A 25,002-nucleotide genomic window follows, 5' to 3' on the forward strand; every position below is an offset into this window, starting at 1 on the left:
GGGCCTGCCTCCTGGATGGGGAGGCCAGACACAGGCCATCACCTCTGCCCCTAAATAAAGACACTCCCCAGACCAAAATGCATCCTATTTCCCCATCCAGGCCCGGGATTCTTCTCCACAAAAGCATCAAAATGAAGCCCTGACCACGTTGGCTAAGGGAAGCCAACGGTACTCCAGGGCTGTTTTTCTGCATGTTGTTTTTATTTTTAAAAGGGGCCGCCCCCACCCACAGCAGCTGTGAGCTGGCAGCTGGCAGAGTTAATTGCTCACTCAAGACTCACTTCCAACTGCAGCACCATCCGGCACGCCAGAATACCATGGGCACCCAGCAACTGGCAAGGACGGCTGGGGGCAGGGGGCAGGTGGCTGCCTGTTCTGGGGCTCCTGGGAACCCACACCCCGGTGGCAGGGGCAGCGGCAGAGGAAAGAGGAGTGCCCAGGAATGCTCCACGCCAGCCAGCTGGATCCCAGGGACCTAACCCGGGAAGGACACATCACGCCGGCCAGCATCACCCAAGCTCTCAGTGTGCCAGGGTCAGTGGGCTTCACGCGGCCTCCACTGTGCCTTACAACCGGCGTGTCCAGTCTTTTGGCTTCACTGGGCCACACTAAAAGAACTGTCTCGGATCACACATAACACTAACACTAACCATAGCTGATGAACTAAAAAAAAAAAAAACAAAAAACCGAAAAACAATCTGTTTTAAGAAAGTTTACAAATTTGTGTTGGGCTGCATTTAAAACCGTCCTGAGCCGCAGGTTGGACAAGCTTGCCTTACAACAATCCTATGGGGTGCTGTCATACCCATTCCATTAATACATACTGGGAAACTGAGGCAGAGAGCAGTGAAGTGACTTGCCCAAGGGGACGGGGCTGGGAAGTGGCAATGTCGGTTTTGAACTCAGCAAGTGTGAAACCCGCATCTACGACACTAACCACTAGACTATACTGTCTCCAAGAATGTCAGGCCCCACTGGAGACATGGTATTGTTCTCTGAGAAACTGCTGTGGCCGTGGGCCTTGACTTTCAGAAATGGCATCTCCAATGGTGTCAGACGTGACTTCCCAAGACTTGAGACCTTCTGGAACAGCCCATGGGACATTCTACCCAGATCACAGTGGGGACAAAATACTTTAAAAGTCACTGCTAAGAAGAGGCTATAAAATGGTGACAGCCAGTTGTGGCCATGAAGAAAACTTGTTCTGGCCCATTCAATGTTTTTTAAAAACTAGGCCATTCCTTATAAAATCCAGATTTCCAGCTTCTCTTGGAAAACCATCAGAATACCCAGCATGCCAGTTAGCCACAATCCCCACTCCTCCCCTTTGACCTGCACTGACTCACTCACTCCTTTCCTCCCTGTGTCTGAGTTTGGGACATCCCCTTATCCCTTCTTTGGCCACCTCCTCTTGCTGTTGCAAACAGTGAAACAAATGTCGAGGACCTCACTCAAACAAGAGAAAGGAGTGTCCCTCCTGGGATGCCAGGTGACTCTCCTTCTCCTTGGCTGGCTGGGCTGGGCTGGTGGCATGAGCCTGTCTGAGAACAAGGCCCGCATGGAAGGAGGCACAGCTGAGGCAAAGCCAGCTCCCAGAGGCATTGTTTGAGCACCTAGATCCAGCCGTGCCTGAACGTGTCCTACCCTGGCCACTCTGAGGACCCATCAACTCCCCGTCATAGCCTAACTCGGCTCGAGTGTGTCTCTGCCACAACTCAGGAGCCCTAACTAACTGCCCCTAACTAATCACCCCCAGGTCTCCCCTTGAATGACTCGTCCCTGGACGCCTGGCCTGATGGAAGACTAATTCAGCTCTTGCCTCACCCAGGTGAATGCCTGAACCTCGTCCTCACAACCCTCACCACCCGCGATAGCACTTGCTTGTTTAACTGACACTCCCCCTCTGGATACTAAACTCGAAGGCACAGGCAATGTCCAACTTCTCCACCATTCTCATCCCAGTGACGTACATGAGTCCGGAACATGCCACGTGCCCAATACATGTAAATTAAAACCATGTAAATACATGGAAATTAACTATGGAGCAAAAGAACAAAAGGGAAAGGCAAAAGTCATTAAATTTGACTTCTGCCTTAAATGTGAAAAACAGCCCAGCCCTGGAGGTCTGCAGGACAGTCTCAGATCCAGGAAAGCCCTCCTGGGGCCCCCCTGCTCTGCTCCAGCCATTACAGAGTGGGAAACTGAGGCACAGAACCCCAATCAGCATGCCTGAAACATGGTGGCCGGAGGGCCTTCGCGCCTGCTGTTCCCTCATCCCCCTTCCTTTCACATAGTGGGTGCCTCCTTATTGTCCAGGGCCCAGCTCAGATGCCACCTCCTCAGAAGCTACCCTGGAATTCTTACCTAAAATGAGTCCCCCGAAACTGAAGTCATCCCTACCTCCCCACCCTGTATTATTTCACAGGCAGCATTTTCTTGCCTTGCAAAATCGTGTTTGTTTTTTGGCACTGCCCATCTCCCCATCAGCCTGTGTGATCCATAAGGCAAAGCGCCGCATCTTGTTTGCTGTTTGCCATCCCCTCAACCAGGAGGAGGCCGTGGGGACACCAATCTGGCTGCAGGGAGGCAGGAAGCAGATGTCCCACGTCCTGACCATCCCACACTGCCCAGAGCAGCTGCTGCGTGCCTGAGGGCCCTACGTGGCACATGGAGGCTGTCCCACAGCTGGCATGGCCCTGCCAAGAGATCCAGGCTGGCTGCGGCAGTGATCGGCGTACCCACGGGGCAGAGGGAGGGCTGCAGGTGGCACCTGCACCATCCACACGATGAAAAGCAGCTGCCGTGGAGTCAGGCGTTCTGGGTTCACATCCTAGCTCTGCCAACTGGGCGACCTTGGACAAGTCCCCTAACCTCTCTCTGCCCTCAATCCCCTTAACTAGAAAACAGGGCTGATCATAATAGCACCTACTTTCTAAGGCTGCTGCAAAGAGTACATGCGTGTATGTATGGGGTGCACGTTAGAAATTGTAGTTAATGTTAATAATAATAATACTGGCAACTCACACACAGCACTGAGGCAAGAAAAGGATCAGGAAATGTTAGCTTTTATGGTAAATATGGTATTTGCTCTGTGCCAGGTCCTGTTTGAAGCATGTACACACATTAGTCCCTCCAAGATGGGCTTATGATTATTCAATGTGAGTGTTCCAGCTCCTCCAGGCAGCCTCCTTGGATTGCTCCAACCCCCAGGAACACCATGGACACACACAATTCTTCATGTGGGTCTTTCCTCAACTCCTCTCTCCACCCCAGGTGACAGTGAGGGGCAGGGAGAGCCCCAAACCCCGCAAGCCTGAAGTCAGCACCAGGGGAATGTGTGAACCCCCACTCCCATCCAAGCCACGGCCCAGCAACGCAGGCCCTGTCCGGCTGCACAAGTACACCCTGTAAAGTAAAGGGTGTTCCCTCCCTGGGCCCCCAGTAGAGGCCCAGACATCCCAAGGGTTCAGGCCCCACTGCCTCGTACAGGACCTGGAGTCTGGAGATATGGAGAGGCACCATGGAGGGAACAGGTGTGGGCTGTGGCTGGGCACCCTGGAGCTGCATGGACAGCGAACGAGGACAAGACTGCCCCCAGCCACCCCCATCCTCTGTCCATGCCCAGCACATGCTCAGGTCCTGAGGAGAAACCACGAGGTGGGGCAGCTGGTCTCCTCTCCCCCGCGGACAGACAGGACGCTAACCAATCAGCCACAGCAAGAACCCCAGCAAAGCCAGCCTGGGGTGCACACAGCTCCCTGCGCTTCTCGGAGAGGACAGGCAGCCCCTTCCACGTCAGGCACATGAGGTGGCCCCCGCTCCCCAAACCAAACAGTAAGAAGCAGCTAGAATCCCAGCTTCACCACCTCCCAGCTGTGTGGTCTCACTCATGCTCCTCCACCTCCCTGAGCCTCAGTTTCTCCAACTGTACAATGGGTCTAAGGACCATTATCTCAGGCAGGACAGAGAGTCCCCCAAGAGCCAGCCAATCAGGGCCGCTGAAAGAGAAAGAGAAGATCTGGAAAGAAGCTATTTTAATTTCAGCAAATGGGCTTGCTTTGTCCTTAGTGAAACATGATTTTATTTTACAGTTCAGAATGGCATCTGTTTATGGCAGTCGTGGAAGGGATGATGAGATCTTTTCAGCAGTGAAACCTCAGGAGGCCTCAGGCCATCCTGATTCAGCAAATCCCTGAACAGGCCGTGCTGAAGGGTAGATGACAAACACGGCGCCCCGCACAGACGCGGCCACAGCACACACAGCACGCCCTGTAGGGTGAGATGGGAAGGACGCAGACGGGGGCAGATGACTTGAGTGCAAAGTTCACTGGCTGTGTGACCTCGGGCAAGATGCGGAACCTCTCTGTGCCTCAGTTTCCTCATATGTAAAGAGGGGATGATGATAATCCCTACTTTACAAGAGCTTTTAGGTGATGAAATAATTTTTTATTTATTTTTTTTTTTGAGGTGGAGTCTTGCTCTGTTGCCCAGGCTGGAGTGCAGTGGCACGATCTCAGCTCACTGCAGTCTCTGCCTCCTGGGTTCAAACAATTCTCCTGCCTCAGCCTCTCCAGTAGTTGGGATTACAGGCGCCCGCCACCACGCCCGGCTAATTCTTCTGTTTTTATTAGAGACGGGGTTTCACCATGTTGGCCAGGCTGGTCTCGAACTCCTGACCTCAGATGATCCGCCTGCCTCGGCCTTCCAAAGTGCTGGGATTACATTACAGACGTGAGCCACTGTGCCCAGTCAATTAAATAAATTATAACATGTGAAGTGTGACACAAGGACGATCACAAACCCTGTTAGGACTGCTGCTGTCACTGCCATGGGGTGCTCCCACTTCGAAGCTCCAGTAGGTTTACAAACCCAACTGCAGCATAAAGACGGGTCCACCTGGATCCCTGGGACTTTGCACTGAGGTCATCTGCCCCCGTCCGTGTCCTTCCCATCTCGCCCTCCAGGGCGTGCTGCGTGTGCTGTGGCCCCATCTGTGCGGGGCACCATGTTTGTCATCTACCCTTCAGCGCAGCCTGATGAGGGATTTGCTGAATCAGGATGGCCCGAGGCCTCCTGAGGTTTCACTGCGGAACAGACGTCATCCCTTCCACGACTGCCATAAACAGGCAGACTGGGTAAATAACCCTCCAGGGACCCCACCACCACCTCCACCACCAAGGCTCTCTGGAAGCCCCTACAGCAGCGCCTCCCCGCCTCCTCCCTCCAGCTGGGGTGGGGATGACTATGAGACGGAAGGAGACACATGTCAGAGCCGAAGATTAAAAACAAGTACAATGACCGGGCAGGCATCCATCCACAATGATGAATCTGATGTAATTAGGCACCCCGCTGACTTCATTACTTATTTATTTACGGGATTGCTTATTTAATTTACAGGCCTCCTTCCCCGAAAAGTCATCTTAGCTGACACCCCTCAGGCAAGGAAAAAGGAGAAGGAGGCCCCCTCTTCCATCCCAGCCCATTCCTGGGCTTCCATATGCCATGCTCCTCCCTTGCCCCAAAATAGCTCCCCGGAAGGCAGGTGTGGTTTTGCCCAAGACAACAGGATTGAACAAGGAAGACCCTTGGCAGAACCAACGCCTGACATTCACTCAACAGTGCTCAGTGCCAAAGGACAGTGCTTGATCCGGAAGGCACAGCGTCTCCTCCACACCCTCATCTCTCCAGCAGAGGAAACCCTAGGAAAAAGGTGGTCCTGGCCCCAACCAGCCACCAATTCTTGGCATGACCCTCTGGACTGGCAAACACATCACTGCAACAAACGGAGCTGGCACCTCCTAGCCTGAAGGAGGAGAAAGGGCACACAACTCAGAGTCATGAGTTTCATTTCTTATCGGAATGGAAGTCACCTGACCTGTCAGAGCCTCAGTTTCCTCATCTGTAAGATGAGTGTTAAGAACAACACCTCTGGGCGCGGTGGCTCACGCCTGTAATCCCAACAGTTTGGGAGGCCGAGGCGGGCAGATCACCTGAGGTCGGGAATTCGAGACCAGCCTGGCCAACACAGAGAAACCCCGTCTCTACTAAAAATACAAAATTAGCCAGGCGTGGTGGCGCATGCCTATAATCCCAGCTTCTAGGGAGGCTGAGGCAGGAGAATTGCTTGAACCCGGGAGGCGGAGGTTGCAGTGAGCCGAGATCGTGCCATTGCACTCCAGCCTGCACGATAAGAGCGAAACTCCGACTCAAAAAAAAAAAAAAAAAAAAAAACACTCACTAATCCTAGCACTTTGGGAGGCCAAAGTAAGTGGATGACCTGAGGTCAGGAGTTCAAGAACAGCCTGGCCAACATGGCAAAACCCCGTCTCTACTAAAAAAAAAAAATACAAAAACTAGCCAGATGTGGTGGCGCATGCCTGTAATCCCAGCTACTTGGGAGGTTGAGGCAGGAGAATCGCTTGAACCCGGGAGGCGGAGGTTGCAGTGAGCCAAGATCATGCCATGGCACTCCAGCCTGGGCGACAGAGCAAGACTCTGTCTCAAAAAAAATAAAAAATAAAAAAATAAATAACAACACTCACAGCTAACTAACCCCAAACAACCCAACTGGTGCAATCCGGCACTGCACTGTGGTCTCAACCACTGCAGCCGGACGAGAAGCAGTCAGTCAGCAGCATAAAGACTAGAAAGGAAAACACAGAGCTAGCGTTGGCAGACACGAGATTATCTCCCACCATCCTTTAGACTCCCACCAGCTGGCCAGACACATAAAATCAAAACACAGAACCACAGCTTTGCCCAAAAGGCAGCAAAAGCTGAAAAATGTAATCGCATGTGCATTAGGGTCTCCTGGAACGGCTAACATTAAAAGATTGACAGTAGCAAGTGCTGACAAGGATGGGGAGCAACTGGAACTCTCATCCACTGCAGGTGGGCATGCAAAATGGGACAGCCACTTTAGAAAACAGCTGGTGGTTTCTTATAAACTAAAATAACACATTTACCATGTGACCTAGCAACCCAATGCCTAGATATTCACATAAGAAAAAAGAAAACATGTTCACACAAAGACTTACACAAGAATGTTCAGAGCAGCTTTATTCCCAATAGCCAAAAACTGGAAACTTTGATGTCCATCAACTGATGAATGGATAAACTGTAATATATCCACAGAATGAAATACTACTTAGCCATGAGAAAGAATGAATTGATACATGAGCAACATGGGTTATGCAGAGTGAAAGAAGCCAGACACAACAAAGTATAGTATATAATAAAATGATAATTTTATTATAAAATTCTAGAAGAGTTAAAAGCTTCTATAACAGCAGATCAGTGGGTACCTCTAGTCGGGGGTGGGGGGTGGAGGTGGGTGCTAGAGATTTAGTGCCAAGGGACTGGTGGGGATTTGGGGGGAACAGAAACACTTTATTCTGATTGTGGAGGTGATGCAAATGTTTACATTTGTCAAAACACATGCAATTGAACCCTTAAAATGGGTGCATCATTATAGGTTAATTACATCTCAATGAAGATGATCTTAAGTGGAACAGGGAGAGAGATGCATATATTAACACTACTCACTCCATTCCCAGTACCCAGGGACTATTTCCTCACTTCTAAATCAGTCTGCTGGTTCCTAAACTGGCCCTCAAGTTTCCCAAAGTCCCCTGATGTATGAGCATTGGACAGTTTGGGTCTGGGTTGAACCCCAGCTTTGTCCTATGCTAGCTAGGTCACGTAGGGCACTGTGCCCCTTAGGGCAAATCGCTTTGCCTCTCTGCCCCTCAGTCTCCCCCTCTACAAAAGCAAGGTGAGAAATACCACACTCCTCAGAAAACTGCCAAGTAAAATGAACCAAAGTGAACATACCAGCTGCAGGCCCCAGCATACAGCAGGGGCTTCATTATTGCTGCTGCCAGGTGATAAATGGTCAAGCCCAGGCCCACTGTGGACAGAGCTGGCCAGGATTCTTGTAACCCTGACAAACACAACACACTTCCTCACCCCACCAGACAAGGCTCTGGGCTCAAATAGCTGCCCCCAGGCCCCGAGGACTCAGGCCGGGGCATTTAACTGATGCCTGCTGTCCGGACAGGACACGGTTCCTGGGCTCCACCCAACCCGCCTCTCCCAGGGAAGCAGGGACAAAAGGATGGGGCCCTGTGGGGATGGCTGGCCCTGAGGACAACACAGGCACATGAGAGGTCATTTCAGGAGAAGGACGTCTGGGAGGCATCCACCAACTCATGCTGAACAACAGTCCAGCCAGAGCCCACCCGTTTATGAAAGAAAATGATAATAATAATAGAAGGACAGGGAGGGGGCTGCAGGGATGGGGGCTCTGCACCAGCTCCCACAGGCCTGTCCAGGGCTCCTGCTCCCCTCTGAGTGATGGCAGGGCAGGCGCCTGGAGCCAACGGCAGGAGGGGCATCCCCCGGGCCCGATTAGCGGGCGGCCGCAGGCAGACACGCTCAACTGTCAGCCTCCTCCTCTCAGCCCGCCATCACAGGCACCATTAATTGCTGTCATTTGAGGGTGGCCTGTGGGGAGAAGGAGGGAGGAGAAGGAGGGGTAGGGAGCAGGAAGGAAGGGGGAGGGGAGGAAGGGATTGCAGGGAGCCCCCGCCCAGGGCTGAGCATCCAGGCTGGGAAGGAGAGAGAGGAGGATGGCAGAGAGGGAAGGGTGGTGGCGCAGACAGGGAAGGGCAGGGGGCCCTGAATTGCTCTCCTCCCCACCCAAGCAGGGCCCAGGGCCCCGTCCAACTGGGGTTAAAGCCGGTCCTCCCAGAGCCCCCGAGAGGTGAGATCCCACCGGGCCAGGGCCCTAAAACCTCCCCCTACACACCTTCGGTGTCCCCGATCACCCGCCCAGGGTACCCCGAGACCCCAGCCCCCACCCACACCGGACCCCTCACCCCAATGTATAGACAATCCCAGACACCCACCTCCCCACCCCACTCCCAGCTGAAGAATCCACTCACAGAGTTTCGAGTCACGGGCAACCCACTTTTGGGGCCAGGGGCTCCCACAGCCCCCTTCTAAGGTCCTAGGTCCGCAGGGAAGAGTGTACCGCTGGGAGCCTGGAGCCAAGCCCTCCCTCTGCTGCTGCACCCTGGGGATGCCACATCGCCTCCCTGTACCTCAGTTTCCTCATCTGGAGAATGGGGATAAGGACGGTGCCCACCTCCAGGGTCGCCCTGAGATTTAAGGAGGTAATTCCACAAAGTGCTTAGTGCACGCATAGCGAGTGTCGGCCCTGAGGTCTGTCCCCCCTTGTCTCCCCCATGCCCCCTTCTACCATCACGGTTCTTACTCAGAAAAGGCTGCACCCCCCACCCACCCTCTCCAGCATGGAGGGTCCCAGAGGGGCCCCACAGAGCTGCCAAGTGGGTGTGGTGGGGCAGGGCATCCGGGCAGCGTCTGTCCTCTGTCAGGGGAGTGCAGAGCATCTGCCTGCCTCAATGTGCCCCCATGGCCCCACTCCCACTCACCCCTGCTGGCCCCCAGACAGGCCTTGCCTTCGGGCTGAGGAGCCACTTGGGTCCTGCAAGGGGGCTCCTGGGAGCATCAGGTTCCCTCAGCAGGGGAGGAGGAGGCCCCACTCCACCGTCTGTCTGCCTTCCCGGCCTCCCTCAGATGTGATGGATCGCCCCGGCAGAGGAAGCTAAGTGCTTGCAGACAAAAAGCCCTTTTATCGTCCTCGGGTGGGCCACTGGCATGACAAGCAGATAACTCAGCCACAGGAGGAAGGCTCCCCATTAGGCCGGAGACGGAGACGCCGATGGACGGGGGACAGAGAGGCAGAGGAGGAGGAGGCTGGGAAAAACAGCCCAGACCAGGCCGCTTTCCTTCCAACTTCAAAGCCCCATGAGCCTAGGCAGAAAGCCCTGCTGAGTTCATCACTTTGTGGGGGACCGCCACCGTCCCACTCCTCCTTCCCCCACCTCCAAATCCCACTCCTCTTTCCCCCCTCCCTCCAAGTCCCACTCCTCCTTCCCCTCCTCCCTCCAAATCCCACTCCTCTTCCCCCCTCCCTCCAAATCCCACTCCTCTTTCCCCCACCTCCAAATCGCACTTCTCCTTCCCCTCCTCCCTCCAAATCCCACTCCTCCTCCCCCACCCCAGTCCCACTCCTCCTTCTCCTACCTCCAAATCCCAATCCTCCTTCCCCTGCTCCCTCCAAGACAAAACCTGGTTGTGAGGCCCAGGGCTTAGGGCCCAAGGCCCAGCCCCAGGAAGCAGATGACCTGCAGGGCTGATCTTCCCTCCTGCCTAGTGGGGGGCCCCCAAAGGCTCAGGAAGAAGTAAAGAGGCCTCCTCCAGGAAAACTCCCCCGAGGTAACTCAGAATCGCGCAACCCGGGAGGCCCATTCCAAGCTGCCTCAGTGCTTTGGCAGGGCTGTTCCCTCAGCCTGGGTCACCCTTCCCCCAGATACCTACATGCTTCCTTCCTCCCCTACTTCAGGTCTTTGCTCAAAGGCCACCTTCTCAGGGAGGCCTACCCTGACCCCCACTTTGAAACTGCAACCCCCAGCCCACCCACAGGCTCCCCAGACCCCTTCACCACTTGTTCCTCAGCCTGGTGCTCACCACCAAGAGACCCGCTAAGCGTCGCACTTACTGACTTTTGGTCATGGTCTGTCTCCCCGCAGGGAGGACTAGGTGCTTGGCCGTCTTGTCCACAGGTCTATTCCCAGCACCCACAACAGAGCCTGGCACACAGTAGGTGCTTTAGAAAGAGCCATTCCATAAACGAATATATAGTCATGTACTGCTTAACCACGGGGACACGTTCTGAGAAACGCACGGGAGCTGGTGCTGTGGCTGTGGGAGCACGATGGGGGTGGACTTGCACAAACCTAGACCTCAGTGCCAGCGGTACACCCAGGTTGTGTGGTGTCATCCAAGCTCGTCCAACCCCGGCCCAGGATGCCTTTGAATGTGGCCTGACACACATTTGTAAACTTTCTGAAAACATTATGAGACCTTTTTGTGATTTTTTTTTTTTTTTTAGTTCATCAGCTATCATTAGTGCTAGTGTATTTTCTGGGTGGCCCAAGACAATTCTTCTTCCAATGTGGCCCAGGGAAGCCAAAAGATTGGACAACCCTGGTGTAGCCGACGGTTCCCAGGCTACCACCTGTACGGCGTGTGGCTGGACTGACTCCCACAGGCAGCTAGAACCCAGTGGTACACTAGGTATCCAAACACAGAAAAGGAACAGTACAAATGTGGTATTCTCTGGGCTTGGTGGCTCACACCTGTCATCCCAGCACTTTGGGAGGCCGAGGCAGGAGGATCACTTGAGGTCAGGAGTTCGAGACCAGCCTGGCCAACATGGCGAAACCCCATCTCTACTACAAATACAAAAATTAGCCAGGCGTGGTGGCGCACGCCTGTAATCCCAGCTACTAAGGAGGCTGAGGCAGGAGAATAGCTTGAACCTGGAGGCAGAGGTTGTAGTGAGCCAAGATCACACCACTGCACTCCAGCCTGGGCAACCAAGCAAGACTCTGTCTCGAAAAAAAAAAAAATGTGGTATTATAATCTTATGGGACCACTGTCATATATGCGGTCCATCGTTGACCAGAATGTCGTTATGCAGCACATGACTGTATTTGGAACAAGAATGAAATCTCCCGACAACAGCCTGTCATGAGCCAGAACACGCTGTGTGCCCGCCATGTGCCCCAGCCTCCATGCGCACGAGCCCTGCAATGCCCTCAGCGACCATCTGCCTGGCTGGGAAATGAGCACTCCGGGAGAAACTTGCTGCATTCCCTGGGAAGGGTGAGAAGGGGTTCTTTGCTTCTGGCTCTTTGCTTCCAGCTGAAAGATCTGGGACAGGTGACCAACCTGTGCCTCAGTTTCCCCACTTGTAAAATGAGGCACCACCCATTCTGGAGTGTTGCTGTGAGGGTCACAAAATGGGGTGACCTGTGAAAAGCACGACCTGTGATTATGACTCACCAGGCACCTTCTCAGGCCAGGCACTGCTCTCTATGAGCATTAATCACCGCAGCAAAACCCTATAAGGGGAAACTGTTATTGCCTCCCCGCCCAGTCTACAGATGGAGAAACAGAGATACAGAGAGATAAAGCAACCTGGCCCCAGTGCCCAGCACAGAAGTAGCAGTGATAAGACCAGGACCCAGGCCACCTCTTTGCCTGCTAGGCATGGGGACCACAGTGGTGGTTCAGCCTCAGGGCTTCCTCCAGCACCCAACACCCGAACACCTGGGCCCATCGACAGGCCCCACCCTGGCCAAACCTGCGGGCCCACCGCCAAAGCACAAAAGCAATGTGACCAAGAACCCCGGAGCCCGGGGAAGCCCACCCTCCTGACACTGACACTGTCAGGGACCCTCCCACCTCTCAGGTGTCATCAAAAAATCACTGCACCAACTCAGCCAGGAAACGGCCCATCACTGGGGGACCCCGCAAACTGCCCTAAGTTGCTCCCTGCCCTGGACAGCTCTGATGTGCCAGACCCCACACGCCCCCCGAGGCCCCCACCACACACTCCAGGCCGAACCTGGCTCCGAGTAATTCCAGACCCACTTCCCGTGAGAAAGTCCAGGCAGGATGAACCTCCTGGGGACACCAAGTGGAGACAGACATGAACCTACCAGAAACTGCCTCCAGCGAGGCTGTGTCCTCAAAGACTCAGGGAGACCTGCGGACAAAACACGGGTTTTGTTAGTTGACATCGCATGTATGCAGTTTGGCATGACGACACCGACATGCAGGAAAAAAGACCATGTCTGCCGTCAGGGCCCATGTGTCGTAAGCACTGGGCCAAGTATTTCTCCATGAGAACCCTGTGAGGCAGGTACTGCTACCTATTTGACAGAGAGGGAGACTGACGCTCAGACAATCAAATCTCATGCCCAGGTTCTCAGAGCCGGGAAGTGACGGAGCTGTGATTCAATCCCAGATGTGTGGGTTTAAAGGCATCCCACACCCTGGCAAGACCACCGAGGGGCCCCGGGCCACACGGCTAGGCTACTGGGAAACTGCCCCATTAACTACCCAGAGGACCCCACAAACAGGGAGATGGGTCGACGGACACCTGAAGGATGGGGTCCGGGGGTGGGGGTGTCTACTATTCTCATGCAAGAATTTATTTTTGTTTGTTTGGTATTTTGGAGTGTTTTTGTTTTTGTTTTTGTTTTGGATATAGTCTCGCTCTGTCACTCAGGCTGGGGTGCAATCATGGCTCCCTGCAGCCCCAACCCTAAGGCGATCCTCCCACCTAAGCCTGCTAAGTAGCTGGGACTATGGGCACGTGCCACCATGCCCGGCTAATTTTTGTATTTTTTTGTAGAGACAGGGTCTCACCATGTTGCCCAGGCTGGTTTCAAACTCCTGAGCTCAAGCAATCCTCCTGCCTTGGCCTCCCAAAGTGCTAGGATTACAGGTGCGAGCCACTGTGCCCAGCCTCATTTAAGAATTTCTGAGTTACCATACAAAGTCAAAAGTAGTGCAATGATAGCTAGTACCCAGAATACAGAGGGGACACCCACAAATCAATATGAGCCAGTCAGTCCAACAGCAGACAGGCAAAAGACAACATAGACGCTTCACCAAAGAGTACATACACATGGCCAATAAGACACGAAAAGATGCCCAACGTCATCAGTCCTTAAGAGAGGGCAATTAAAACCACGAAAGACCACTGCTCACCCATAGGGATGGCAAACATGAGACAGACAACATCAAGTGCTGGTGAGAACAAGGAGCACCTGGAACCCTCACCCGTTGCCGACGGGATGCAAAATGGAGCAACTACTTTGCAAAAACAGTTTGGCCATTTCTTATAGTTAAACACATGCTTGCCATATGACTCAGTAATTCAACTCCTAGGACTTTGTCAGACAGACATGAAAACAGCCACACAGACTCGCGCACAAATGTTCACTGAAGCTTTATGCACAATCGCAGAACAACTGAAAACAACCCAACGGTCCATCGACAGGTGAACGGATAAACAGTGGTACATCCATGCCATATGACTCTGCAATCAAGAGGAACCAAGTGCAGACACACAGGACCACAGGGAGGAATCTGAGACTCAGGCTGTGTCCAAGAAGCCAGATTCAAGGCTGCAGACTCTATGGTTCCACGATAGGATTCTGGGGAAGACAAAACAACTTTCACATTTGTAAAGAGGCCTGCAGAGGTAGTCAAATACAACAAAAAAAATGTGATTCCCACAAATGTTAGGACGCCAATCACCTCTAGGGAGAAGGCAGCCCATGTCTACAAGGTGACCCCTTTATAATTGTTCGCTAATCTGCACTGAGGGGTTTATACATTCTTTATCGTGTTAACTTCTGCATGAAAAGAACAAGTAAAAAATAGTACAGAGGGCAGAGCACTGGACAGTCAGTCTCAACGGACCTCTGGGAAACCCCTTCTCCACCTCGTGCCAAAGCTGAGGGATCGGGGACTGGTGAGGCCAGGGCTGCCCCCTCCCACAAGGGAGCAGCTGTGTGCAGTGCTCAAGCTCTGAAGCCAGGCTCCCCAGGTTCCAATCTGGCCTCCACCCTCTCCTAGCTGTGCAACTTGGAACAAGCAACTTCACCTCTCTGAGTCTCAGATTCCCCATCTCTAAAATGGAAACGATCATTTTAAAAATGCTGACCCCACAGGAATGTTGTGAGTGTAAAGTGCCCTCAGTGCCAGTGTGTGCCACTCCAGTGTGTGCCACTCCAGTGTGTGCCACTTCGAGTGCTCAGTTCTTGCTGGACATGACTCCTACCCCCACCCAGGGGCTGGCAGCCAAGCTCCGAGAGGCCAGCCCTCTCCAGTGCCTGGCAGGCCCTCAGGCCCCAAGGAGGGAGCCTTTGAAAGGGCAGCTGCGGGCAGCTCACAGGGGGACAAGCCAGCCACTTCTTTCCTGCCCTTTTTTCTTTTTTAAGCGTTTTTTTCACTATGATGCCCCCAGGCTTGGCACTTGGTCCTGCCATCTGCATCAGCTCCAGAGACAGGCCCTGCAGGAAGGCTGGAAACAGGGAGGGCCCGGGCACATCTTCACAGCCGCCCTCCCCAGCTCCCGGAAGCCTCGGTGGCCAGCCACCTGCAGCACGTCCCGTCACAGGCTAGGGCAGAGCCAGGCCTGGCAGGCGCTCTCCCTGGGCACCAAGAAGCTCTCAACCTCCACCTGGGAGAGACAGCTGGGAGATCAGACCCCATCTTCTCCTAACCTGCTCCCAACCCCAGCCAGCTCAGCCTGCAATCCCCAACAGACAGAGTCCCAGGGTGTCCCGGTGGCATGGGGTCAAGGCCAGTGGGGGCTGGCCCCAAGGTCACATTGTCCAGAGGGAAACAGAGAATCTCCCAGCAGTAATGGAGTGACACATAGGTCCAAAGAGGGGTTCCCAATTTAGAAAACTCAGCAGGGACTTCCCAGGACAGGCAACCTGTCACACTGGCCAGAATCCAGGGAGATGACTGAGGGGCCAAGGGGGGTAGCGAGGACTGGGCTGAGGTGGGAAGGAACCCAGGGCCCTGGCTGGAGCAGAGCCAGGGGGAGAGGAAGAGAGAGGAGGGCTGGAGGCAGCAGGGGCGGGTCACGCAGGGTTCTGCAGATGGGTTTTATCTCCAGAGCAGAGAACCTTAGGAGGGTTACGCAAGCTGCAGAGGGGCAAGGTCCCACTCCAAAGTGGAGATGCATCTGGCCGTGGAGCGCGGGTGAGGGCAGAAGCCACAGCCAAGGGAGAGGCCACTGTGCCAGTCCAGGAGAGTGATGTGGCGGGCGGCCAGGCTGGGCGCAGCGAGGTGGGAGAGGGGCTGGCATGGAGAGCATCATGCATTAGAGAGTCCGAAAGGCAGGCAAGCGATGGTGAGAATCAAGAGGCCCGCTCCTCCTCTCTGACCCTGGGCAGAGCTAGTCGGGGAGGGAAGGAGAGGGTGACAACATCCACTTCCTGCACAGGACCCTTTCAGGGGCACAGCCATCCCGTGTCCCTGGCCAGGAAACTGCTGCTCTGAGGGAGGAGTCACCCAAGGCCACGTGGCAAGGAAGGGAGTGAGCCAGGATCCAAACCCAGGACCAAGTGCTTGGGCCATGGGGAGCCAGGGCACCAGGGCACAGGGCTGGCAGCGTGGAGTCGAGGCTGCTCCAGCCCAGGCTGCCCGCGAGCGGCCAGGGCATGTGGGCCACAGTGTGGACTGAGCCCCACGCCTCCCCGGCAGAGCCGCCCCCGTCAGGGCTTCCCGGGGCCGGGCGTCTCCCAGCTCAGCCCCGCAGCAGCAGGTCTCACTCGCTGTGTCACGCTCCCCTGTGCTCACACCCACCACTCACTCGCTCAAGGCCGCAGTCGCACTTGCTCACTCTGCTGCACTCACATTCACACTCATTCACACTCGTGCACACCCGGTTCACACTCACCGGCTCGGGGCCACCCACACACATTCCAGCTCAGGCCCAGGCCCACTGGCCGGCTCCGTGGGCCCTCCCCGCACAGCATCCCACCAGCTCCTTCATGCTCACTGTCCCCCAGCAAGCTCCCACGCTCCCCCTCACCCTCCCAGGCAGGCTGGGGGAACCCGGGCACCCCCCATTCCTCTGAAGCCACCAGCTCAGTCCACCCACAGCTGGAAGAAGGGCCGGGCCTCCATCCTCGCGCCCCTGGGGCTGGCCAGGCTAGTCTCCCGGCAAAGCAGATGCACGGGGAGAGCAAGGACCAGTTCCAAGGCTCCCCTCTGCCAAGCCCACCATGACCACGCATGGCCCACAGGCTGAGACTTGCCCCCACCTGCCAGCACCCCCCTTGTCAGCTCCCAAACAAGCCCACCTCCTGGCGTTGGCTTTTACCCTCAACTCTACCAAACGCACCGTCACCCTGCTCTCCACCCTGCTGGAACCAGAACAAGCACCATCTTTTCCTCCTCCAGGAAGCCCGCCTGGCTCACCCCAGCCACAAAGGCCAACCTGACTCGTCCATTCGCCACACCCAGAGATGGGAAGCCACCACCCACAGCCACACAGCTGCAAGAGGCAGAGCCAGCCGACATTCAAACCCAGAGGCAGCTTCGACCTGCCTCGACCAGGACACCATCAACCTTCAGCTGCTCAACAAACAGAGGGGACAGACCCCCTGTTACCTGCCAGGTACAGGGGCATGACTGCGAACACAAAAGCTGAGGGTCTTAGGGGCCAAGGTCACACACACACACACCCAAACACCCTCCGGTACACCCATAAGTGAGCAAGGTGATTGCAAAGAGTGGCCCCTGGAGTGACGGACATAAACCATGGCGACCCAGCAGTGGTGGGAGGGAGGGCAGGGAGGGCAGGGAGGGCCCCCTGCAGGAGGAGACACTGGAGCCAAGCACAGAGGGCCGAGGAACAGGTGTCCATGAGGAAGGAAAAAAGAGCACTCCAGGCAGAAGGCACAGCCTGTGCAAAGGCCCAGGGGCAAGAACCAGATCAGAGGGTTAGAGAAGCTGGGGCAGCCAGAGGGCTGGGGAGTGGAGAACTGGAGAGGGTTGGGGAGTAGAGCTGGAGGGGGATGGAGGTGGAGAGCTGGAGGGGGATGGGGAGTGGAGCTGGAGGGGGATGGGAGTGGAGATGGGGGGATGGGGGTGGAGATGGAGGGGGATGGGAGGAGGATATGCAGGGGGATGGGGAGTGAAGAGCTGGAGGGGGATGGGGTGGAGAACTAGAGGGGGTGGGAGGTGGAGAGCTAGAGGGGGGTGGGGAGTGGACTGGAGGGGGATGGGGAGTGAAGAGCTGGAGGGAGATGGGGGTGGAGATGGAGGGGGGTGGGGAGTGGAGAGATGGAGGGGGATGGGGAGTGGGGAGATGGAGGGGGATGGGGGTGGAGAGCTGGAGGGGGATGGGAGGTGGAGGGGTGGATATGGAGGGGAATGGGGAGTGAAGAGCTGGAGGGGGATGGGGGTGGAGATGGAAGGGGATGGAGAGTGGAGATGGAGGGGGCTGGAGAGTGGAGAGCTGGAGGGGGGTGGGGAGTGGAGAGCTGGAGGGGGATGGGGAGTGGAGATGGAGGGGGATGGGGAGTAGAGAGCTGGAGGGGGATCTGGGGTGAAGAGCTAGAGGAAGATGGGGAATGGAGATGGAGGGGGATGGGGTGGAGATGAAGGGGGATGGGGAGTGGAGATGGAGGGGGTGGGGAGTGGAGATGGAGGGGGATTGAGTGGAGAGCTGGAGGGGGATGGGGAGTGAAGAGCTGGAGGGGGATGGGGAGTGGAGAGCTGGAGGGAGATGGGGAGTGGAGATGGAGGGGGATGGGGAGCAGTGATGGAGGGGGATGGAGGTGGAGATGGAGGGAGATGGGGAGAGAAGATGGAAGTGGCTGGGGGTGGAGAGCTAGAGGGGGATGGGGGAGATGGAGGGGGATGGGGAGTGAAGAGCTGGAGGGGGATGGGGAGTGGAGATGGAGGGGATGGGAAGTGGAGAGCTGGAGGGGGATGGGAAGTGGAGAGCTGGAGGAGGATGGGGAGTGGAGCTGGATGGGGTGGGGAGTGGAGAGCTAGAGGGGGATGGGGAGTGGAGAGCTGGAGGGGGACGGGGAGTGGAGATGGAAGGGGATGGAGGAGGAGATGGAGGGGTGGGGAGTGGAGATGGAGAGGGAAGGGGAGTGGTGATGGAGGGGTATGAGGAGTGGAGATTGAAGGGGATGGGAAGTGGAGATGGAGCAGGTGGGGAGTGGAGATGGTGGGGGGGTGGGGATGGAGCTGGAGGGGGATGGGGGTGAGGATGGAAGGGGATGGAGAGTAGAGATGGAGGGGGTGGGGAGTGGAGAGCTGGAGGGGGATGGGGAGTGGAACTGGAGGGAGATGGGGAGTGGAGATGGAGGGGGATGGGGGTGGATATGGAGGGGGATGGGGGTGGATATGGAGGGGGATGGGGAGTGGAGATGGAGGGGGATGGGGAGTGGAGATGGAGGGGGTGGGGAGTGGAGATGGAGGGGGTGGGGAGTGGAGAGCTGGAGGGGGAGGGGGTGGAGAGTTGGAGGGGGATGGGGAGTGGAGAGCTGGAAGGGGATGGGGGCTGTGTTCCTGGCCACAGGAGGGGAGCCACGTGCTCCAGTGGAACACATAACTGAGTAGGAACAGTGTGGGGCAGGGCCAGCGAGGACACCTTTGGGTCAATCCCTGAGGGCTCCATGGAGGCATCGACCTCTTGCCCTCCCAGACCCAGCCTCAGCCTCTTCCTGCATGGAGGATCAGAACTGTGGGGCTCCAGCCTCAATGCTGGGCAAGGGCTTGGTGTCTGGACTCTGGAGCCTTTCCCACCAGACCTGCAGCAGCCACAGGAACAGGGCGGGCCATTGCCTCGGGGCTCCTGTGCCTCCAGGACCCATGATTACTCAAGCCCAGGGCTCAGTATAAATCCTCCCTCTCAGCCCAGCCTCCCCTGACCAGCGGCCACACCGGCCACAACAGCCACACCCTTGGCAGGGCCACATGAGGGACATCTTCCAGAAGGGAGAAGGACGGGTGTTGATTGAGCACCCACAGGGCCCACAGAGATGGGCGAGGTGGGCGACAGCAGCCCAGGCTCCACTCCAGGCCACCTCTGCCCTGGGCACCGAGGCCAAGACCCTCAGCGCCCGTCCCAGGCCCTAGGAACCTGCCAGGCCAGCATGAGCCAGCCTCGGGGCGTGCTCCGCAGAAGCTCTAAACTGGACCCCGCAGACCCACAGATCAGACCCTGGCCCCCAAGGGGCAGGCATGACTCCCAGAAGCCTTCCCTGCAGGCTGGAGTTTGGGGACTTCCAGCACAGCACAACCTAGGTGCCGTGAGACATGGAGGCGGCTCACCGCCCTCCCAGGGCCGGCCGGGGTCCACCGGATACATCTTCCCACACGGGGTGAACAAGGAGCCTCCCCTGTCTCCTGCAGTGGTGTCACCTGGTCCCCGTCCCTGTGGTAGCCAGCAGTCCAGACAGCCAGAGCGGGAGGGAGGCAGGCTCCGCAGCCCTTCCATTGAGAAGCCGCCGGGATATGTTTTCCTTCTCCAGGGACAGCTGAGGCAGCCTGCCCCGTGCCAGCCCTCCTGGAATCTGCAGAGGCAGCCACCCAGAGTTCACCAAGGTCTCAGTCCCCACTGGACTGCAACAGCCAAGGGCGGGTGGGTGGGCGAAGATGGGGGTCACAGCCTCTCTCCCTCCCATCCCTCCTCCACCAGCTAGGGCAAGGGCCACCAGACCAAGGCCAAGGGGGCTGGCAGCATGGATGTGAGTGATCAGGGCCTGCAATGGGATCAGTAGGGAGGTGGGGATGGGCCGCAGCCCCGTCCAGAGGGGGACTGAGGAGCAACCCCGTGCCCTGCCCAGGAACGCGCCCCAGCCCCAGGGCCACCTGTCTGCTCCCAACAAGGAAGGCTGCACTGACACCGGGCATAGCGACTGGGGAGGAGCCGCTGCAAAAAACCATGACAACGATCATCACAATAATAACAGCCCTCACTTCCTGCCAGGCCACGTGCATCTCCACTGTCCGGACCCTGTTTCAGGGGTGGGGAAACAGACCCACACGGGGTTACCTGCCCCAGGTCACACAGCCAGTGAGGGGCGGGGAGACGGGACCCCGAGCATCTGACCCTCTGCCCTCGGCCACTCCATTCTCCACCCCGACAGCGCCGTGGATTTAGCAGGGACTAGGCTTCCCAGAAACCTCGCCGCCCCTCTCCTCGCTGCGGGGTGTGGGGCCGCCATCAGAGACAGCAGCCGGCAGGAGCAATTAGAGGCCAGGAAGGAGCCGGGGTATCGACCGCTTTTGGGAGGGAAGGGGGACGCGGGCTCTGTCGGGGTGGCAGCAGCCTGGCTCATGGCCAAGCACGGGCCACGACAGGGCAGGGAGCGCAGCCCAGGCCGGGAGGCCGCGGAGGCCCCACGCGGCAGCACGGAAAGGCCAGCTGTCCGTCCACCTGTCTGTCCAGCCCCCTCACCCTCACAGGCACCGACAGCCCCTCGGTGCCTGAAGCTCAGGGTTTCGCTGCCTCCGCACAATGCTAAGCCCCTTACGATGATTAACTCGTTTAATTCTTAACAACCGCCCCACATCCTCCCCCTGTGCAGATGGAGGCAGTGAGGCAAGAAAGCCCTCCCAGAGAGTTCCCAGGACTGGGATCCACACTCAGCGTCAGTCAGCACCAGCGACGCCGCCTCTGCCCGGCACCCCCTGCCCGGGGAGCCCCAGCGGGGAGGGAGATGAATGGAAAGGGTGCACTGGAGACTGCTGGATGAGATGGAAGCTTCGGGAAACCTCTCTATGCCCCGCAGTGACCCTGTCTGTAAAAGAGGAACATCACAACACCTGCCTCACAGTATGCTGTAGATGAACTCAGGTTTAGCCCCACAGATAGGCAGAGCAAGTACCCCAAAATGTCAGCTGCTGGCTTCTCCCAGAGAGGCTGCCTGGCCTGGGGACCCCTGAATCTGCAGCTGAACAGAAAAACCACTGCAGACTCTCCCCAGCCTCTGCCCCGGGCTGCCCGCCCAGGAGCAGGGTCTGGCCTTTAGAAGCTCCCTGGAGGGCGGGGGCACCATCCGCCAGAAGCAATTAATTGCTGGGTCAAGAGATGGTGAAAGAGATTTGTCACGAGGGCCTGGGGATATTCAGGGTGGGAGGGTGGCCCACACTGATTCAGTTGCCCCACCTTCCACCTCACAAGCAGGCTCCGCCCCCACTCAAACCCCCAGGACATCCTCCTCTGCCTCCACACCCGCCCGGGCCCAGGGTAGGTCAGGGATGCAGCCCCAGCACCCGTGACCTGCTCCCAGGAGGGACCTGCTTCCACCATTCAGCCGGTGCCCACACACAGGAGGGGACAGCCAGGCACAAGTGGGGCTGACATACAGAGTCCCCGGTGGGCCCCAAATGGGCCTGAGACCCAGATCAAATCCCTGAGCCATCTCATCTTGGCAGGAGACTGCGACCCCTGTGTGTGCTGCTCAACTTCGCAGAGGCAGTTTCCTCTCGGTGAAACGGAGGCAATTATATTAGGTGGCTAAAATCAGGCTGGCTCCCGCTCCAGCCCTAGTGCTGTCATTTTTTAAAGCCTGAGGAAGGTGCCTTGCTTCTCGGAACCTCAGTGTGCCCATCTGTAAAACGGGGATGATGCCAGGGGCTACTCTGAAGAGAAATTTACAACCTGGCACCCAGCAGTGCTCAGTTGAAGCTCACCATCGGGGTTCACCAGGCCACCTCCCCAGGGCCCCTTGCCAGCCTGCAACCCTACTGAGACACCAATGTCCCCAGCACCTCGAACACCCAGAAGCGGGGCCCAGGGGGAGGGAGCAGAGTCTCGGAGGGCCACGATGAGAGGACTGGATAAGAGCCCACCTTCCCTGCCTCCCACCTCCGCAGCAGGCCCAGGGGAAACATAGGCTTTGGTGACCACCAGGCTGGGGCCAGAGGCCAGTGACAACAGAAGCACCCAGAGACAAGGCAGCCCCTGACCCAGATCTTCCATGGGCAGGGCTCTGCAGGAGCCTCTGGTCTGGAGGGGTCCGAGGCACAGGTTTCCCCATGGGTCCCCATCAGCTTTCAGCCCCTGGTGTCCACACCCAATCCCTCCACACCAACCCACCGACACACGGGGACCCTCGAAGCCCCCACCACACAGATGGGAAAACCAAGGCCCAAAGACGCCAGGCAAGGGCAGCTCAGCCCGGGATCTTTCTCATGTACCGGTGAGCTCAGCTCAGCCCAGCAGGCGTTCAGAAGCCCAAGTGGCCCGGCTGGGGTCAGGGCCCTGAGTCAGAGCAAGAAACGCAGCAGAAACTGAAACAGCCCAGTGGCCCCACATACTCCACAGAGTGAGCCACGCTGCTTCCCTGCGCCGCCCCGTGCTGGGAAGTTCTTGCTTCTGTGGTCAGGGTGAGGGTGGGGGTGGGGGACGAGTGGCGTGGAACAGCCTTTCAGCCTGGGGACCCTCTCTGGGCCCGGCAGATGAGCAAAGTTCCATGCACACAGGCAGAGCTGTGAACTGGCCCCACCTCAGAGTCTCCGTGTCACCCAGGACACATGCAAAGCCACACATTACCTGGGGCAGCAGTTCAGGGGTATGCATAGGTGAAGCATAGACAGGCAGGAGAGACCCATCCCAGGCACAGGCTGTTTCTGCTCCCTGCAGGGCTCAGCCTGCAGCAAGGCCACAGAGCACAGGTCTCGTGATCTCAGGATAGGGTCTGAGACCCGGGTTCAAAACCTAGCTGCACTGCTTTCTAGCTCTGTGACCCTGGGCACGTGGCTTAACCCTTCCGAGCCTGCCTGTTTCCTCGCCGTAAAATAGAAACTCAGCTCACAGGGCTGACTCAGAGGCTCAGTGAGCGAATGCCTGCCTACAGTAAGAGTGAATGCCCAGCATACAGTAAGGGCTTAATAAATATGTACAGCAGTTCCTGCTTAGCCACGGCAGCTTTCCACAGTTTCAGTATGGTGGTCTGAAAACAAACGGAAAATTCCACAAATAAACAATTCGTAAGTTTTTGGGTTTTGGGTTTTTGTTTTGTTTTGTTTTTCTCACTCTGTTATACAGGCTGGAGTGCAGTGGTGTGACCTCAGCTCACTGCAGCCTCCGCCTCCACCTCCTGGGTTCAAGTGATTATCCTGCCTCAGCCTCCTGAGTATCTGGGATTACAGGCGTCTGCCATCACGCTCAGCTAATTTTTGTATTTTTAGTATAGTCAGGGTTTCACCATGTTGGCCAGGCTGGTCTCAAACTCCTGGCCTCGAGATCCACCCACCTTGGCCTTTCAAAGTGCTGGGGTTACAGGCATGAGCCACCGCGCCCAGCCAATTCCTAAGTTTTAAATTGCACGCTGTTCTAAGTAGCATGATGAGATCTTGCACCGTCGCGTCCTGTCCAGCCCAGGACATGACCCCTCCCTCTGCCCGGGAGGACCCACTCTGCAGACGGTCCTGCCTGTGAGTGTCCATCCCGGGAATCAGATCAACTGTGATGGTAGAGCAGTGCCTGTATTCAAGTAGCCCTTATCTGACTGAACAATGGCCCCAAAGCACAAGAGTAGTGATGCTAGCATACCGTTAACATTGTCTTTTTATAATATTTTATTTATTTTTATTTTTTTTGAGATGGAGTCTCGCTCTGTCGCCCAGGCTGGAGTGCAATGGTGCAATCTCGGCTCACTGCAACCTCGACCTCCCAAGTTCAAGTGATTCTCCTGCCTCACCCTCCTGAGTAACTGGGATTACAGGCACTCGCCACCACGACTGGCTACATTTTGTTGTATTTTTAGTAGAGACGGGGTTTCACCATGTTGGCCAGGCTGGTCTCGAACTCCTGGCCTCAAGAGATCCACCCACCTTGGCTTCCCGAAGTGCTGGGGTTACAGGCATGAGCCACCACACCTGGCCTGTCCTATTTTATTATTAGTTATGGTTGTTAATCTCTCACTGTGCCTAATTTGTAAAGAAAACCTTGTCATAGGTCTGTATGTGTAGGAAAAGATGGAGTGTATATAGGGTTCCATACTGTCTGCAGCTTCAGGCATCCACTGGGGGTCTTAGAATATATCCCCCAAGATTAAGGGGGGACTACTCCATTTTTTTAGTTCCCACATTTTTCAAATGGAGAAGAAATTCACATTACATAAAATTAACCACTATAAAGTAGGCAGCTCTGACATTTAGGACATTCCCAGTGCTGTGCGACCATCACCTCTATCTAATTCCAAAACATTTTCATCACTCTAAAAGGAGACCCCATCAACATGGAGTAGGTTCTCCCCAGGTCCCCTCCTTCCAGCCTCTGGCAACCACCAATCTGCTTTCTGTCTCCATGGGTTTGCCTGTTCTGGGCATTTCATGAAAGTGGAATCGTACACTATGTGGCCTTGTGTGTCTGGCTTCTTTCACTCAGCATCATGGTTTCAAGGTTCACCCGCAGTGTAGCATGCATCCGTACTTCATTCCTTTTCATGGCTGAATAATATTCCATTGTATGGAGAGACCAATCATATATTTTTATATGAGAAAAGTGTGTTATAAAGAATACATATTCATATATATAACAACATATATATAAATACACATACA

The 25,002-nt window shown here is 56.2% G+C and overlaps 1 protein-coding gene across 3 annotated transcripts in view, besides 5 other annotated features; it reads right to left on the minus strand.

Moving 5' to 3' along the window:
* NCOR2 (nuclear receptor corepressor 2) overlaps positions 1–25,002 on the minus strand; it is a 243,198-nt gene that overhangs the window by 198,557 nt on the left and 19,639 nt on the right. For all 3 annotated transcript variants that reach the window (NM_001077261.4, NM_001206654.2, NM_006312.6), the window contains exon 2: positions 12,594–12,640. The gene's annotated coding sequence lies outside the window, so the exon portion shown is untranslated. The remainder of the gene's footprint in view (positions 1–12,593; positions 12,641–25,002) is intronic.
* Positions 4,539–5,527: an enhancer, noted in NCBI's record as "H3K27ac-H3K4me1 hESC enhancer chr12:125012056-125013044 (GRCh37/hg19 assembly coordinates)". NCBI's record gives its function as "activates a minimal SCP1, AML or CMV promoter by ChIP-STARR-seq in naive H9 embryonic stem cells {active_cell/tissue: H9 hESC(naive)}" and the evidence as "EXISTENCE:reporter gene assay evidence [ECO:0000049][PMID:30033119]".
* Positions 9,428–10,360: an enhancer, noted in NCBI's record as "H3K27ac-H3K4me1 hESC enhancer chr12:125016945-125017877 (GRCh37/hg19 assembly coordinates)". NCBI's record gives its function as "activates a minimal SCP1, AML or CMV promoter by ChIP-STARR-seq in naive H9 embryonic stem cells {active_cell/tissue: H9 hESC(naive)}" and the evidence as "EXISTENCE:reporter gene assay evidence [ECO:0000049][PMID:30033119]".
* Positions 16,543–17,252: an enhancer, noted in NCBI's record as "H3K27ac-H3K4me1 hESC enhancer chr12:125024060-125024769 (GRCh37/hg19 assembly coordinates)". NCBI's record gives its function as "activates a minimal SCP1, AML or CMV promoter by ChIP-STARR-seq in naive and primed H9 embryonic stem cells {active_cell/tissue: H9 hESC(naive and primed)}" and the evidence as "EXISTENCE:reporter gene assay evidence [ECO:0000049][PMID:30033119]".
* Positions 19,467–20,000: an enhancer, noted in NCBI's record as "H3K27ac-H3K4me1 hESC enhancer chr12:125026984-125027517 (GRCh37/hg19 assembly coordinates)". NCBI's record gives its function as "activates a minimal SCP1, AML or CMV promoter by ChIP-STARR-seq in primed H9 embryonic stem cells {active_cell/tissue: H9 hESC(primed)}" and the evidence as "EXISTENCE:reporter gene assay evidence [ECO:0000049][PMID:30033119]".
* Positions 21,069–21,603: an enhancer, noted in NCBI's record as "H3K27ac-H3K4me1 hESC enhancer chr12:125028586-125029120 (GRCh37/hg19 assembly coordinates)". NCBI's record gives its function as "activates a minimal SCP1, AML or CMV promoter by ChIP-STARR-seq in primed H9 embryonic stem cells {active_cell/tissue: H9 hESC(primed)}" and the evidence as "EXISTENCE:reporter gene assay evidence [ECO:0000049][PMID:30033119]".

This window comes from Homo sapiens, chromosome 12, assembly GCF_000001405.40.
Source record: "Homo sapiens chromosome 12, GRCh38.p14 Primary Assembly".
Classification (NCBI taxonomy): Eukaryota; Metazoa; Chordata; class Mammalia; order Primates; family Hominidae; genus Homo; species Homo sapiens.